Below are 15,877 nucleotides of genomic sequence, written 5' to 3' on the forward strand. Positions count from 1 at the left end.
AATGCCAAAGATATTGAACTCTACTTGGGCCCTAAAATCTCATTGTCCTTCTTCCTTGATGTAGACATTGAAGATTTTAATATCTCATTTCCATCTCCATCACTTGAGATTGTTGAGATGGTTCTTGCCCACCTGGGACAGAACATCAGCCAGGCAGAGGAAGGAATGTGAGCATTAAAAGCCAACAAGGCTGTTTCAAATCAGAGTTCTGTCATAAATAGCTGTGTCACCTTGAGCAAATTGCTTTTTTTTTTCTTTTTTTGAGATGGGGTTTCACTCTTGTTGCCTAGACTGAAGTGCAATGGCACAATCTCGGCTCACTGCAACCTCTGCCTCCCAGGTTCAAGTGATTCTCCTGCTTCAGCCTCCCGAGTAGCTGGGATTACAGCTGCCTGCCACCACACTCAGCTATTTTTTTTTTTTTTTTTTGTATTTTTAGTAGAGACAGGGTTTCACCATGTTGACCAGGCTGGTCTCGAACTCCTGACCTCAGGTTATCCACCTGCCTCGACTCACAAAGTGCTGGGATTACAGGCGTGAGCCACCATGCCCAACCTGCTTAACGTCTCTTAACTGTGCTGTTTTTATCTTCAGGACGAGCATAATGAACTCTGCCTCATGGGAGTATTTTAAGGATTCACAGAAATGATGTTTAAGATGCAGGAAGCACATCATAGGAATGGAGGAGGCTTATAGAAGCCCTCAATACATGGGAACGGCTCTTATCCTTCCCCATCCATTGCCCATCCCTTCTACATCCCCACCTCTTTTTCCTTATTCATCCAATTCTGTGTCGGTTTCCTTGGGCTGCAGTAACAAACTATCACAAACTTGGTGGCTTAAAACTTATTCTCTCACGGTTCTGAAGCTAGAGGTCTGAAATCAAGAATCGAGGTTTCACCAGGACTGTGTTCTCTCTGAATCCTACAGGGAAGCATCCTTCCTTGCTTCTTCCCAGTTTCGGATGGTTGACAGCAATCTTCTGCATTCCTTGGCTTGTATTAGGTTGGCGCAAAACCAATTGCGGTTGTTGCCATTAAAAGTAATGGCAATTGGTTTTGCACCAACCTAATTGCTACATATCTCCATGTGTCCCTCTTCACATGACATTCTTTCCTGGGTTTCCTCTGCTTCTCTGTATCCAAATCTCCCTCTTCATATAAAAACACCAGTTGTTGAATTTAAGGTCTTGATTCAGTATAACCTCACCTTAACTAGTGACCTCTGCAAGGACTCTATTTCTAACATAAGATCACATTCTAAGGGTCCAGATTAACTTGAATTTTGGGGGGATTCTATTCCACCCAGTATCTTCACTTTGGGATGTTCAAGTCTTGCCCACCAGGAAGGCCCAGATCAGATTCCATCACCTAGGTGTATTGTCCCTAACTGACAGCTGCTATGACTATCCCATGGTATAAACCATGGGAACACATCTGTCCTATGCCCAGCGGTGCACTGGTAAATGTTTAGCAAACAGCTCCACTGAGTAGGTGCTGGCAGGGAAACCCTGATATATATGCAGCTGGTTTATGTGCTGTATTCTCCCACCATGGCCAAGTTCAAGCTACCAACATGATGTTAATCAACTCTTGAAGTTTCTGAAAATTTAGCAATCAGCTCTCTCAAGCTAGTATGAGGCAACTCAAAGATGAGTGGCACACTTCCTGTAACTACTGTTTTGTCTTTAATGTTACTCATCATCCTATGAAATAATAAGCTTCTCTGACATATATTTACTTACGAGCCAGTTAAAAATCATCTCCAGTGGAAGCCTTGAGGGCCTCTGCCAACCTTTGAAATATCTAGTGGCCCAATTTTGTATTTTGTATTTTCCTCCAAAGAAGCACTCATAATCCTGTATTATAATAATGTATTTGCTTCTTTGAATTCTTGACAGGCTCACTGAGGGCAGTTACTGTGTGTCCTAGTTGTCCCTGAATCCCAACAACTTGCACAATGTCAGACTCTCTGCAGGAGCTCACTTGTCAAATTGAATTGATCGAAAGGATCAGGGTCCGGTCAATGTCTTGTTTTGTCTTCCACAGTGTCATGCACATAGTAGGCACTCAGTACACCTTTCCCCAAATCACACTATATCATAATTTTGGCCCCAAGAGTAGACCACCCACCCTCATGCTGTTTGAATGCCCTCCCTAATAGTGGTTCCCATACCTGGTTGTGCATCATTCATTCATGCACATGCAATATGCATATTGTTGAATGAATGAACGAAGCACAGCCAGATATGGGAACCGTCATAGCAGCCACTATGAGCCAGGTACTGTTCTAGGTGCTTGGAATAGAGGACACAATGAAACAGGCGAAAACTCCTGCCCTCATGGAGCTTAGACTCTAGTGGGAGAGATAGGAAACAAACAATTAAAACATACATGGTGTTTTACTGGTGTGGTAAGTGCTTAGGAGAACAATGGAACAGAAGAAAGGATAGAGCATGCTGGCAAAGGGAGAGGGAGAAAATCTCAGAAGGCCACACCGAAAGGTGGCATTGAAGGAAATCCCTGAAGGAGGGAGGGAAGGAGGATGAGAATCTCTGGCCCTGGATGAGGGCACAGTGAGTGCAAAGGACCTGAGACAGAAGAATACTTGGCATGTCTAAGGAACAGCACAGAGGCAAGTGTTCCTGGAGAAGAGTACATGAGGGGGAAAGCAGGAGACATGAGAGACATACTGAGAGCTGAATTGTAAAGGGCTGGTAGCCACTGTAAAGACTCTGTCTCATGAATGACACGAGAGCTGTTGAGGGCATTTTCAGAAGAGGAATGACATGACTTGACTAAAGACATTAGTGTACTCTGTTTAGATATTATATGGAGGAAGGATTGTAAAGAGACAAGGACAGAAGTAGGAAGACCACTGAGGAGGCCGTTCATTGTGTAGGTGAGGGTTGATGATGACCTGTGGCAGTGGTGGTAGTCAATGGAGGTGGAAATCAGTGGCCAGATTCTGGATATATTTTAAAGGTTGAGTCCACAGGATTCTTAAAAAGATTAGCTATTGGATATGAGAGGACAGAGGAGTTAAGAATGACTCCAAGGTTTGTGGCTGAGCACCTGAAATTATGGAGACACCATTTACTGGGATGAGGAAGTCTAAGGGAACAGCACATTCACATGGGAATATCAAGAGTTTAGTGTCGGACAGGTGAGGTCTGAAATGGATATGCAACATCTAAGTATAGATGTCAGGTAGGCAATTGCATATTTGAGCCAGAATTCAGAAGAGCAATTGGAATTGGAGTTATAAATCTTGAAGATGTCACCTAATTAATGATGATACTTAAAATCAAGAGTCTGGATGAGAGCACCAAGAAGGAAGAATGGATAGAGAAGAGAAGAAGTCCAGTGCTGAGGTTTGGGACACTCTGATGTTTAGAGATTTGGGGAATGAGGAGACAACAAAAGAACCTGAAATGAAGAGCTCAGAGAAACAGGTGAGTGCAGTGTCTCAGGAACTAAGTAAAAAAAGGATTTCAAGGTGGAGAGAATGATCAGCTGTGTCATAGGCTACTGATAGGGCAGGCAAGGTGACTACAGGGCAATATTATGAGTAAATGTATGCCAACAAATAAGAAAACAGATGAAATGGACAAATTCAAAGAAAAACAAAAACTACTTAACTGGACTCAAGAAGAAATAGAAAACCTAGGCTGCATATGGTGGCTCATGCCTGTAATATCAGTACTTTGGGAGGCTGAGGTGGGCAGATCACTTGGGCTGAAAGGTTCGAGACCAGCCTGGACAAGAAGCAAAACCCTGTCTCTACAAAAAAAAAAAAAGCAAAAATTAGCTGGGCATGGTGATGCATGCTTGTGGTCCCAGCTCCTTGGGATGTTGAGGTGACAGAATCACTTGAGGCCAGGAGGTTGAGACTGCAGTAAGCAGTGATCATACCACTGTAATCCAATCTGGGTGACAGGATGAGACTGTCTCAAAACAAAAAAAAAAAAAAAAAGGGAAGAAGAAGAAATAGAAAATCCAAACAGATCTATACCAAGTAAAGAATAGTCAATTAGTAATTTTAAAACTTTCCCCAAAGGAAAGCCTAGTTTCAGATAGCTTCATGGGTGAATTCTATCAAACATTTAAAGTAAAATTAAGATGAATCATTTACAAACTCTTTCAAAAAAAAAAAAAGAAGAAGGAAACACAGTGAAGAAGAAGAGGAACACTTCCCAACCCTGTCAGGCCAGTGATAACCTAATACCAAAACCAGACAATGCCAATGTACCTTATGATACACATGCAAAAAGCTTAAGCAAAGTACTAGCAAACTGAAGCCAACAATATATAAAAGGCATTAGATGTCATTAACAAGTGGGATTTATCCCACATATGCAGGGCTCATTCATTATTTAAAAATCTTCCAGCATGATATACCTTATTAAGAGAATAAAAGGAAAAAAACTACCATGTGGTCATCTCATAGATACTGAAAAAGCATTTGACAAAATCTAACAGTCTTTTGTGATTTAAAAAAAAAAGTCAACAAACTAGAAATCTAAGGAAATTTTCTTGACCTGACAAAGGACTACTATAAAAAGCCCATGGCTAACACCATACTTAATAGTAAAATACTGAAAGCTTTCCCCCTGAGATCAGGAACAAAACAAAAATAAGACAAAAATATCCACTCTTGCCATTTTTGTTAAGCAGTTTACTGGCAGCACTACATAGGCTAATTAGACCAGAAAAATAAATGAAAGGCATCCAGGTTGGAAAGAAAGAAGTAAAAATATACCTATTTGCATATGACACAATTCTGTATATAGAAAATCCTAAGAAATGCAAACACACACGCTGACACACACACACACAACTATCAGAACTGATAAGTTCTAGTTCAGAAAGGTTGCAAGAAACAAGAAGAATACACAAAAGTCAATTGCATTTCTATATACTAGCAATGAAAGGAAATTAAGAAAACAACTTCATTTACAATAACATCAAAAAAAAAACACTTAAAAATAAATTTAACAAAAGAAATGCAAGACTTCTACACTGGAAACTACAAAACCTTGTTAAATTAGATGATACCTGAATAAATGGAAAGGCATCCTGTGTTAATGGATCATATGACTTAATATTGCTTAGATTGCAGTGTTCCCCAAACTGATCTACAGTTACAATGCAATCACTATTAAAATCCCGTTTTTTTTTTCAGTAATAGGCAAACTGATCCTAAAATTTGTATGGAGATTCAAGGGGTCCAGAATAGCCAAAATAGTCTTGGAAAAAAAAAAAAAAGAACAAAGTTGAATGACTCACACTTACTACAAAGCTACTGTAAATAAGATTGTGTGGTACTGGCATAAGAATAGACATATAGGTCAACAGAATAGAATTGGAATACAAAAATAAAAACATACATTTATGTAAAATTGGTACAAGGGTGACAAGACAATTCAAGGGGGAAAGAATATTCTTTTCAACAATAATGCTGACTCATCTGGATATCCATATGCAAAAGAATGAAGTTGTATCCCTACCTTACATCACATACAAAATGAACTCAAAATGGATCATAGACATAAACATAAGACCTCAAAGTATAAAACTCTTAGAAGAAAACATAGGAGAAAATCTCGAGCCTTAGACTAAGCAATGATTTCTTAGATATAAAACCTAAAGCAAAAGCAACCAAGGAAAAAGTAGATAAATCGGGTGGCATCAAAAGTTAAAACTTTTGTGCTTCAAAGTACACCATGAAAAAATTGAAAAGACAACCAGAAAGTGGGAGAAAATATTTGCAAATCGTATATCAGATTAGAGACATATACAAAAGATATAAAACAATTCACAACTTAGCAATAAAAAGACAAATAACTCAATTTAAAAATGACAAAAGGATTTGAATATATATTTTTTTCAGAGAAGATATACTAATGGCCAATAAGCATGTGAAAAGATGCAAATATTATTAGCTATTAGAGAATTACAAATCACCATGAGATATAATTTCATATCCATTAGAATGGCTATAATCAAAAGGACAGACAAGAATAATTAGTGAGGATATAATGAAATTGGACCCCTCATATGCTGTTGATGGGACTATAAAATGGTGCAGCCACTGTAATAAACACTTTGGCAGTTCCTTAAAAAGTTAAACATACAAGTTAGCATATGACCTGGCAATTCCACTCCCAAGTATACACTCAAGAGAAATGAAAACATATGTTGCCCCAAAAGTTGTACACAAACATTTATAACAGCATCATTCAAAATAGCCCCAAAGTAGAAACAACCCAAATGTCCATCAACAGATGAATGGGTAAACAAAATGTGGTATATCCACATAATGAAACAGTACTCAGCTATGAAAAGAAATGAAGTACTGATACATGCTGCAACTGGCATGAATATTGAAAATACTATTTTAAGTGAAAGAAGCCAGACACAAACAGCCACATATTATATGATTATATAAAATGTCCAGAATAGGCAAATCAATAGAGACAGAAATACATCAGCGGTTGCCAGGAGCTGAGGGAGGGGGAATAGGGAGTAACTACTTATAAATACGGAGTTTCTTGCTGGGATGATGAAAAGCTTTTTGAAATTAGACAGTGACTATGGTTGTATAACTGTACATAGATACTAAAGTACTGAATTTTACACTTTAAAGGGAAGTATTTCATTGTGTATAAATTACATGTCAATGAAGCTGCTATTGTTTTGAAATCGCAATAGCAGCTGCCATGTCTTGAATGCCACCGTGTGCCAGGCACAGTAGTAGGGGGTTACAAAAACTAGCTCATTTCCTGCACAGGCCAGGCATCTGAGGTTGGCATTGTCATCCTTCTTTTATAGATGAGGAAGGCAAGTTTCATAGTTAAGTCACTTGTTCCACAATCACACAGTTGGTAAGTGGCCTAAATGGGATTTGACCTGAGGTCTCAAACTCTTCACCATACATTACACAATCTTGGACTGCAGTGGAGGTGGCTGGGGACAGGTCAGAAATGAATCAGAAACAAGACTAGTTACAAGAACTCAGACTCCAGATGGGGCCAGACCACCTACAAATGTGACCTGATACTGAACTCTGAGGGGCTGAACTCTGTGTATCTCCCTTAACAGACTCTAAGGGAGGTTCTGAGACTCAGGCAAGGCTGAGCCCATAGGAATGGGGCAAAACGTGTTAGTTTTGGACAGATGAGACCTGTAGAAGCAGTCAAGTGATGCCACAAGATCCTTAACCAGCTGAAATGCAGACATCCTGATCCAGGGAATCATCCCGGAGGTTGGGCAAGATGCTGTCAGGGTCCAGAGATAAACAAGACCCTCCTCCCAGGAGCTCTGGACGGCCTTCCAACCCACCACCCACTTTGCAGTCCTCACAGAAATGTCCACTTCGATGTTATCATGAGAGGAACTGTTTCCAGACGAAGTCAGAGCAGAACCGGCCCACTAGGGGCCACAACCCACAGGCTATAAACTGAGGGATCTGGAGAAGGTTCTTAATTAAAGAGTGTCCCTGGGGGAACCCCTGCACTGGGTCTGAAATTCCAATCATGGACTCTGTCCCCTTGGATGTCTTCAGGAACAAGTCGTTATGAAATGGTTCCAGGAATGATATTGGTTTGGAGCCTCCTAGCATCAATAGCACTTTTTAATAGCACATTTTGTGCAAACTACCTCTTCACTTTTGGATCTGGTGTGGTGGGATGTTAATTAGGTACTCATGGGGCAGGCAGATTATGTAATCTGGGTCGTTTGGATGCTTACAACAGGATGACAAGGAGACAGAGCATGGTCTCTGAGTTACTTCTTCCTTATCTCCCAAAGTTTTCTTGGTGTCTTCCTTACATCTAGAGGGATCAGGAGAAGTATAAAAGAGGTTATGGAAAGGAAAGCTTTGCGGGCCACTGTCTGACTTGGCATTTCAGTGCCTGCTTTGAGCTTTGCATGATCATCTATGTATCCTTTTTCCTCAAAGCAAGAAGCAGCAGCATCCATGAATACCACTGCGTGGGTTTACCCACAGCAGAGGGCAGGAGCTTGCGTGTTACACTCTGCCTCTTACGTACTCTCCCTGTTTCTTTCTCCCACCACAACCCCACTGCCAAAACTGTGTTTAAGCATTGCAATAAAAACACTACATTATTATGTAAACAAGCCACCACTCTAGCTTTGAAGAATGCTATCAATTTCATGAAGTCCTTGGGTAAATTCAAGAATCAAAGAGTTCAGCTTCATTTTTCAATGGCTAAGATGTTTCTCTGGAGGCAGTTCCCATCCTTCATGATGCCCTAACTATTCTTTTTTTTTTTTTTTTTTTTCTTAAGACAGAGTCTCACTCTGTCACCCAGGCTGGAGTGCAGTGGTGTGATCTCGGCTCACTGCAACCTCCGCCGCCCAGGTTCAAGCGATTCTCCTGCCTCAGCCTCCCTAGTAGCTGGTATTACAGACGTGCACCACCATGCCCGGCTAATTTTTGTATCTTTAATAGAGATGGGGTTTCACCATGTTGGCCAAGCTAGTCTCGAACTCTTGGCCTCATGTGATCTGCCCACCTCCCAAAGTGCTGAGATTACAGGCGTGAGCCACCGTGCCCAGCCAACCTGATCATTCTTCACTCTCTTGTTGGGCTGTAATTGGGTAGATCTTCTGGATGCCTCTTTAGTTCCTCTTTTACCTCTAGGCTGGAAACTGGTCCATGTTCCAGTAGACTGAGGCCTAATAGTACCTGAGGTTTCTACTTTAGTCTGTAGGGCCTGTAATACCACATTGCCCCTTGGGTTATATTTCTGCAAAAGTTTTGTCTTTTCCAAAATTAACTGTGTATTCTGCCTCCATTGTACTTTGAGGAGTGAGACCAAATCCAGTAAGTTTTCTAATATTTATTTTCATAACTGGCAGGATAAAATGCCTTCTAAAAGACAAAAAGATTAAGGTGAGACTAGCTCATCCATTAGTAATTTACAGTTTCAGACAGTAACATGTTTATATGGCAATATAAAATTATTTGGTGCTCTTTCTGAGTTGATTGAGTGAATATAAATGGAAGGAAAGTCAGCTGGAGGAGAGGGAGAAAGAGAGGGAGAGGAGGGCCGGGCACAGTGGCTCACACCTGTAATCCCAGCACTCTGAGAGGCCGAAGCCAGAGGATTGCTTGAGGCTAGGAGTTTGAGATCAGACTGAGCAACAGAGTGAGACTACATCTCTACAAAAAATTTTAAAAATTAGCTGGGCATGGGGGCACACACTTGTAGTCCCAGCTACTCAAGAGGCTGAGGTGGGAGGATCACTTGAGCCCAGGAGGTCAGTGTTATAGTGAGCCATGATCACACCACTGCATTCTGGCCTGGGCAGTGGAGTAAGACCCTGTCTCTAAAAAAATTTAATTAAACTAGAAAGAAAAAAAGAGGGAGAGCAACTCTTTAATATAACTTAGGAGAAGTGGTTCACTATAGAACTATATCTTTGTTACCCATAACAAAAATATGGGCAATTACGTCTTGGGAGGTTTTAGACTATGCATATTTACATAAAAATAATGGCTCCTCAAGGGCCATTATGAATTACTGAAAAATAAAATATTCATTGCTGTAAAACTGAAATTAACCTACATAAAGTTTTCCTGGAGTCTACATCTATAGAATACATTTTTGTTGAGGAGAGGTCTGCCTGGGAGTTGGTACGCTCTAATATTCACTATAAGTAATTAAAAATTGAGCATCTGCAGAAGAATGCCTCCTCTCAGAGCAAAGTCAGCCAAATCTCTCAGAATAGCAGAAGCAGAACCAACTTAACATTTCATGACTCCTGAGGATGAGCACAGAGAGAAGGGCCAGGGAGATGCAGCAGGAAGAGAAGGGGAGGGAGAGCTCAAAACACAGCACAGGACTGCTTCTAGGTTCTCAATATCAGCATTTCTGGCCTGACAGTGGTGTGATTTCAGGGTCTTGGCCACCACGTCTGGCTTGGTGCTGGAAATTCTACATATTTATGTACATATTTTGTAATAAGACCAAACTTCAAAAGTCCCTAGAAGGAGTGCCATATGAAGAAGGCTTTTTCAGGGGAAGAGGAGAAAAAAGTTGTGAGTATCAAGGCACCAGAGGTGGAAAGAAGTTGCTACTAAGAGGTGGAAAGAATCCCAACAGAAAAGGATGCAGCCCTGACATCTCAGCGACCCACTGCTTCTCACAAGTGCTGGAGGAGGGAAGGGCCACACTGCCTGTACTCCCACCAGGTACCCCATCAGATTTCTCCACGGTTACCCCCAGGTTCCCTTCTGCTTTCAGGATCAGAGAAACCCCAAACCTCCTCCAATCTTTTTCATTAGTCCTATCCAAGTGGTATGGATGAGGGAAATGGGCAAGGAACCAGCAGCATCTGCTGCAGGGTGTGCCTGTGTGTGTGTGCACGCGCACAGGTGTGTGTGTGCATATGCGTGAGAACATGTGTGTGAAATATCTCCGTAGTCTCTTCTGGAGCCTGAAATCAAAGGAGACTGGAGCATGCTCTTATCCTGCCACACTGACATAGTCTTTCTGCTATCAATTTAATGAACAGGTATTAAATAAAGGATTAAGAAAATGAGTAAAATGAAGAGAGTGTTCTCTCAGTGGGTTTCAGGCTCTTTCTCTCTGCCTTATCTGTGCATTACCACTGAGTAACTAAGAATAACCTTTGGCCCTAGGTCCAAGGCTTGAGCATATGTGTGAAGTAAGTGAAGCATGGTTTGGTCTTTTTCTAGCAGCCGTCTACCCAAAGCATCCCAGAATCGAGACACCCATTCTCCCTCCAACTCTGGGGTGGGGGTTGCACTAGGTGGAAATGTTATGTCACAAAAGCATCAACACTCAAACAATCCAAATTCAAATCCCAGTCCCCGGTACGACCATTTCAGAAACCTGGTAGTATGTGCTGGGAATGGTGGCTCACACGTGTAATCTCAGCACTTTGGGAGGTGAAGATGAGAGGACTGCTTGAGGCCAGGAGACTAGCCTGAGCAACAAAGTGAGACTCCCATCTCTACAGAAAAAAAAAATTAGCTGGGCATGGTGGCATGTGCCTGTGGTGCCAGCTACACGGGAAGCTGAGGTGGGAGGAGTGCTTGATTCCAGGAGGTCGAGGCTGCAGTGAGCTGTATTCATGCCACAGCACTTCAGCCTGGGCAACAGAGTGAGATTCTGTCACAAAAGAACAAACAAAGAAACAAACAAAAACACAGTATCTACTAGAGCTGACCCAACAATTTCACATACACATCTAACACATATCTAACGAGTGTATTAGAAACAAGAGCTTATGTCTGCCAAGACACAAGTACACAAGTGTTCATAGCATATTTATTCATATTTCCAAACTGAAAACAATTTAAATATCCGCCAATGATAGAATATAAATATACTGTTTCACCATTCATACTATGGAATACTACATAGCAATGTAAAGGAATGAATTATTGCTATACACAACAGATGTAATATTGAGTGAAAGTAGTCAGATATGAAGGAGCACATACTATTAATACATGATTCCACATATACAAAGTTTTAAAACAGGCCAAAATAATCTATGGTGGTAGATTTCAGAGGAGTGGTTATCTCTGGAGGGAGTGTTGACTGAAGGCACAAGGGAGCTTCCTGGAGTGCTGGGAATGTTCTGGATCAGGGTGTTGACGACATGGCTGTATACATGGGCAAAACTCGAATGATCTATATACTTCAGGTGTGTGCACTTCATCACTTGACTATATGTTAACACATTCAATTTTTGAAAAAATAATTGTCTTAAAATTAATTTTAAGAAGTGAACCAAAAACAAATCTCAGCCTGCTTCTTTCCACCAAATGTTTTGATCATAAACAAAATACTTCACGTTTTTAATTTTAACCTCATATCCTTCACTTGTAAAGAGGGTGTTAAGAGTCTTCAGCAGTCAGTTTCATAACATTTTTTTGTAAAAATCCAATGTGCAGCATCTGTGAAAGTGCTTTGGAAACTTTAAATTGTTCTACGAACTGAGTGTGACTTTCGGGGCGGGACATAAAAAAGACCTGCAAGCACCCTTCATTCTAGATCCTTTCCAAGTGATATGTGGCAAACTACAGATTTGTCAAGAGATTTGGCTCTTATCAATTCATCAGACCCAAAGCATAGTTATCCTATTTCTCAATATTAGTTGCTTGATTTTTCTCCAATTATAAGAAGTGAGACTGTTCATCTGACCATCGCATTATATGTAAACTCCAGATTTTTAGACGAACATCCCCTGCTTTGTCACACCTGAATGGTTGTGGCTCTACCTCTCGCCTTCCCTTGAGAAATGTTAATTTTTACTAATAGGTATCTGCATGCAAGTCGTATGGAGTTATCTTACCCATAATTTGGTAGATTTTAAAAAATGATTTCCATCCTCTCTTTGGATGAAAGTTTGGTTTCTGATTTCTTAATTATGTTCAAGTGCATCAGGAATCTGACCTAAGAAACCAGGTACTAAATGTGTTCTAGGACCAAACTACCCAACGAAAACTACTTGTTGACATAGTGCCCTTTATTAGGAAAACACTTAAATTCACAAGAGATCAATATTTATCCTGTTGGCCAGAAACCCATGGACTTCTGTAAACGTCCATTTTCAGGTCAGCAGTTTCCAGAGTGGTGCCAGTTTCACTGGATGTGGTGCTCTCTTGCCCTCCATTTCTGGAACAGGAGTCTAACCTACACCTCCCTCAGCTTTACTCGCTGACTGGCTGGTGAACTCTGCTAGAGTAGGCAGAGCACCATTAATGTTGTGATTGATCATGTAGCTTGTTATGACCAAAGAAATATGTATTTACCACTGTGCTTGACACCTAATCAGCATTCACACATGCAAATGAAATGAATTTGTGAATTTTAAGAGAAAATCTAAATTCAATACCTCTACTCCTGGGTGGTTTTGATCTACATGGCATTTATTTGTTGGTTTGCTTTTCAGTTCCCTCCCCTGCTCTTTTCTGTGTCACTGAGGGGACTGGCTCTTGCAAACTATATTTCCCAGGCTTCTCTGTCAATTGTTCCCAGGTAGGTTCAGCCACTAAAAGGCACTAGCACTAAAGAGAAGAAGCCAAGGTATTTCTGCCCCTTTCTCTTCTTGGGAGGAAGGGGATGCATCTCTAGCAGTGGCTGCGTCTCTTCTGTACTTCCAGCTCCCATCATACAGCCCCTCCTCCCCATGGCCCCAAATCCCACCTACCTAGCTGGCAGAGGTTCCCACTCCTACCAAGTGGCTAATGTTTCTGGGCTCCGGGTAGGCTCATCCTTTCTTTATCCTTCCATCCCTATGGGCGTAGCAGCGCCTGCAGTTGCTAATCTTTGGGTTTTCTCACTTTCTTCTTTTCTTCCCTTTTTCAACTTTTCTGTGTATTGTTTCCTGTATCAAATTCCCTCTGTTGGCTTCATTTTCCCAGCTGGATTCCTCTGATGGAAAATCTATCTCAGGAGCCATGTACAAAACCATGATTTATTCTAAAGCCTAGTTCCGAAAGGAGGTATGTTTGTTTTCCCCCTTAATTATTTGAGAGCATTTCTGAAAGATACTCTTTCCTATGTCTTATTTTCCTGGTATTTTGTAGTATTTGAAATAAGATTATATTCAGAACATTAACAGCAATCAAAAAGCTAAGTCTGGGCCAGGCACAGTGGCTCACAGCTGTAATCCCAACACAATGGGAAGCGAGGCAGGAGGATCATTTAATCCATGTCAAAAAAAAAAAAAAAAAAAACCAAAACCTAAGTATGCCCAATATTGGAAAGACGCCAACTGTTCCTAAATTGATCTATCGATGTGATGTAATTCCTGTCAAAATCCTAACTGGTTTTTTTTTTTTCATGAAAATAGACAGTTGATTACAAGATTTGTATGAAAATGCAAAGGGCCAAAAATGGCCCATACCATCCTAAGGAAAAACAAGGTGGGAAGACCTTTTTCAGCAGACATCAAGACTTAATGGCCAGACACAGTGGCTCACACCTGTAATTCCAGCACTTTAGGAGGCCGAGGCAGGCTGATTGTTTGAGCACAGGAGTTCAAGACCAGCCTGGGCAACATGATGAAACCCTGTCTTTGCAAAAAATACAAAAAATTAGCCAGGCACAGTGACACATGCTGGTAGTTCCAGCTATGCTGGAGGCTGAGGTGAGAGGATCACTTGAGCCTGGGAGGCAGAGGTTGCAGTGAGCTAAGATTGGGCCACTGCACTCCAGCCTGGGTAACAGATTGAGATCCTGTCTCAGAAAACAAAAAACAAAAAAACAAAAAAAAAAACAAAAAAAGAAGACTTATTAAAAATTAAGAAGATATGGTGATAGAGAAAGTGTGGTGCTGCTTCCAGGAACAAATAGTTCAGTGATATGGAATGGACCAATGTTCTGGAAGAGTCTGGCAACTTACCTATGGACTGTAGATATTTTTTTCAAAGTGACATTGCAGAGCAGTTGGGAAAGGATGGTCACTTCAATAAAAATTTCCAGCACAACTGGGTGATAATATGCTAAAAAATGTGGCTGGGGACAGTTGTTCATGCCTGTAATCCCAGCACTTTGGGAGGCCGAGGTGGGCGGACCACGAGGTCAGGAGATCGAGACCATCCTGGCTAACATGGTGAAACCCCGTCTCTACTAAAAATACAAAAATTAGCTAGGCGTGGTGGCGGGCACCTGTAGTCCCAGCTACTCAGGAGGCTGAGGCAGGAGAACAGCATGAACCCAGGAGGCAGTGCTTGCAGTGAGCCCAGATGGCACCACCGCACTCCAGCCTGGGCAACCGAGCGAGACTCTGTCTCAAAAAAAAAAAGCTTCTCCTTATGGCTGTTTTTTCCATAGAGATCTAAATGTGAAAGGCAAAAATCATAAAACATTTGTACAATGATGAAAAATTTAAAAAGAAAGCTAAGTCTGAATGTGGGAACTGGCTGTAGGCCAGGGTTGCCTTTTTTTTCTTCATTCCAATTGACAAAAATAAAGAGATCTTTCCTGCTTCAGGACTTGATGAGTAATGAACTCAGACCAAGCCCCCAGCCTGAGAAGCCACAAGATGATGTTAACATTGTTTAACTCCATGCTTTTCAAGGGAGCAAGAAGAGAAGGAAATCACTGGAAAGTCGAGATGCAGATGCTCCTGGAAGGTGGTAACTTTAAAGAATTGTTGGCAATCAGCGCATCTTAAAGAGTATTAGAACCCTTATATAATTTCAGCTCTAGAGGAAAAATTGCTTGCAGATCTGCAGTCAAAGAACAGCCCTCACTCAACAGCTTCTTTTTCTGTACCTTCTGCTCTACAGAGGTTTTAAACAGACTCTTTTGTGCCCCAAATATTCTTTTTTCAATTTTAAAAGTATTTCAGATTTCAGAAAAATGCAAAAATAGTAAAAAAAATTCCCTTATACCTTTCTCCTCAATTCCCTGAATGTTAACATTTTGCCATACTTACCTTAGCATTCTCTTTTTCTCTATCTTTATATTTTTTTCTAAAAATGTGAAAGGAAGTTGTACATATGATACCCTTTTACACCTAGTCACTTCAAGATGTGTTTCCTAAAAACAGGGACATTTTCTTACATAATCACAGTACAATTTTCTTTCTCTCTCTCTTTCTTTGTTTTTCTTTTCTTTTTTTTCTTTCTTTCTTTCTTTCTTTTTTTTTTTTTTTTTTTTGTATTTTTGGTAGAGACATGGTTTCACCATGTTTCCCAGGCTGGTCTTGAACTCCTGAGCTCAGGCGATCCACTCGCCTCAGTCTTCCAAAGTGTTGGGATTACAGGCGTGAGCTTCCACACCCGGCACACAGTACAACTTTCAAAATCAGGAAATCAACACTAATACAATACAATACAATACAATACAATACAATACAATACA

The sequence above is a fragment of the Homo sapiens genome, chromosome 20 (genome assembly GCF_000001405.40).
Source record: "Homo sapiens chromosome 20, GRCh38.p14 Primary Assembly".
Classification (NCBI taxonomy): Eukaryota; Metazoa; Chordata; class Mammalia; order Primates; family Hominidae; genus Homo; species Homo sapiens.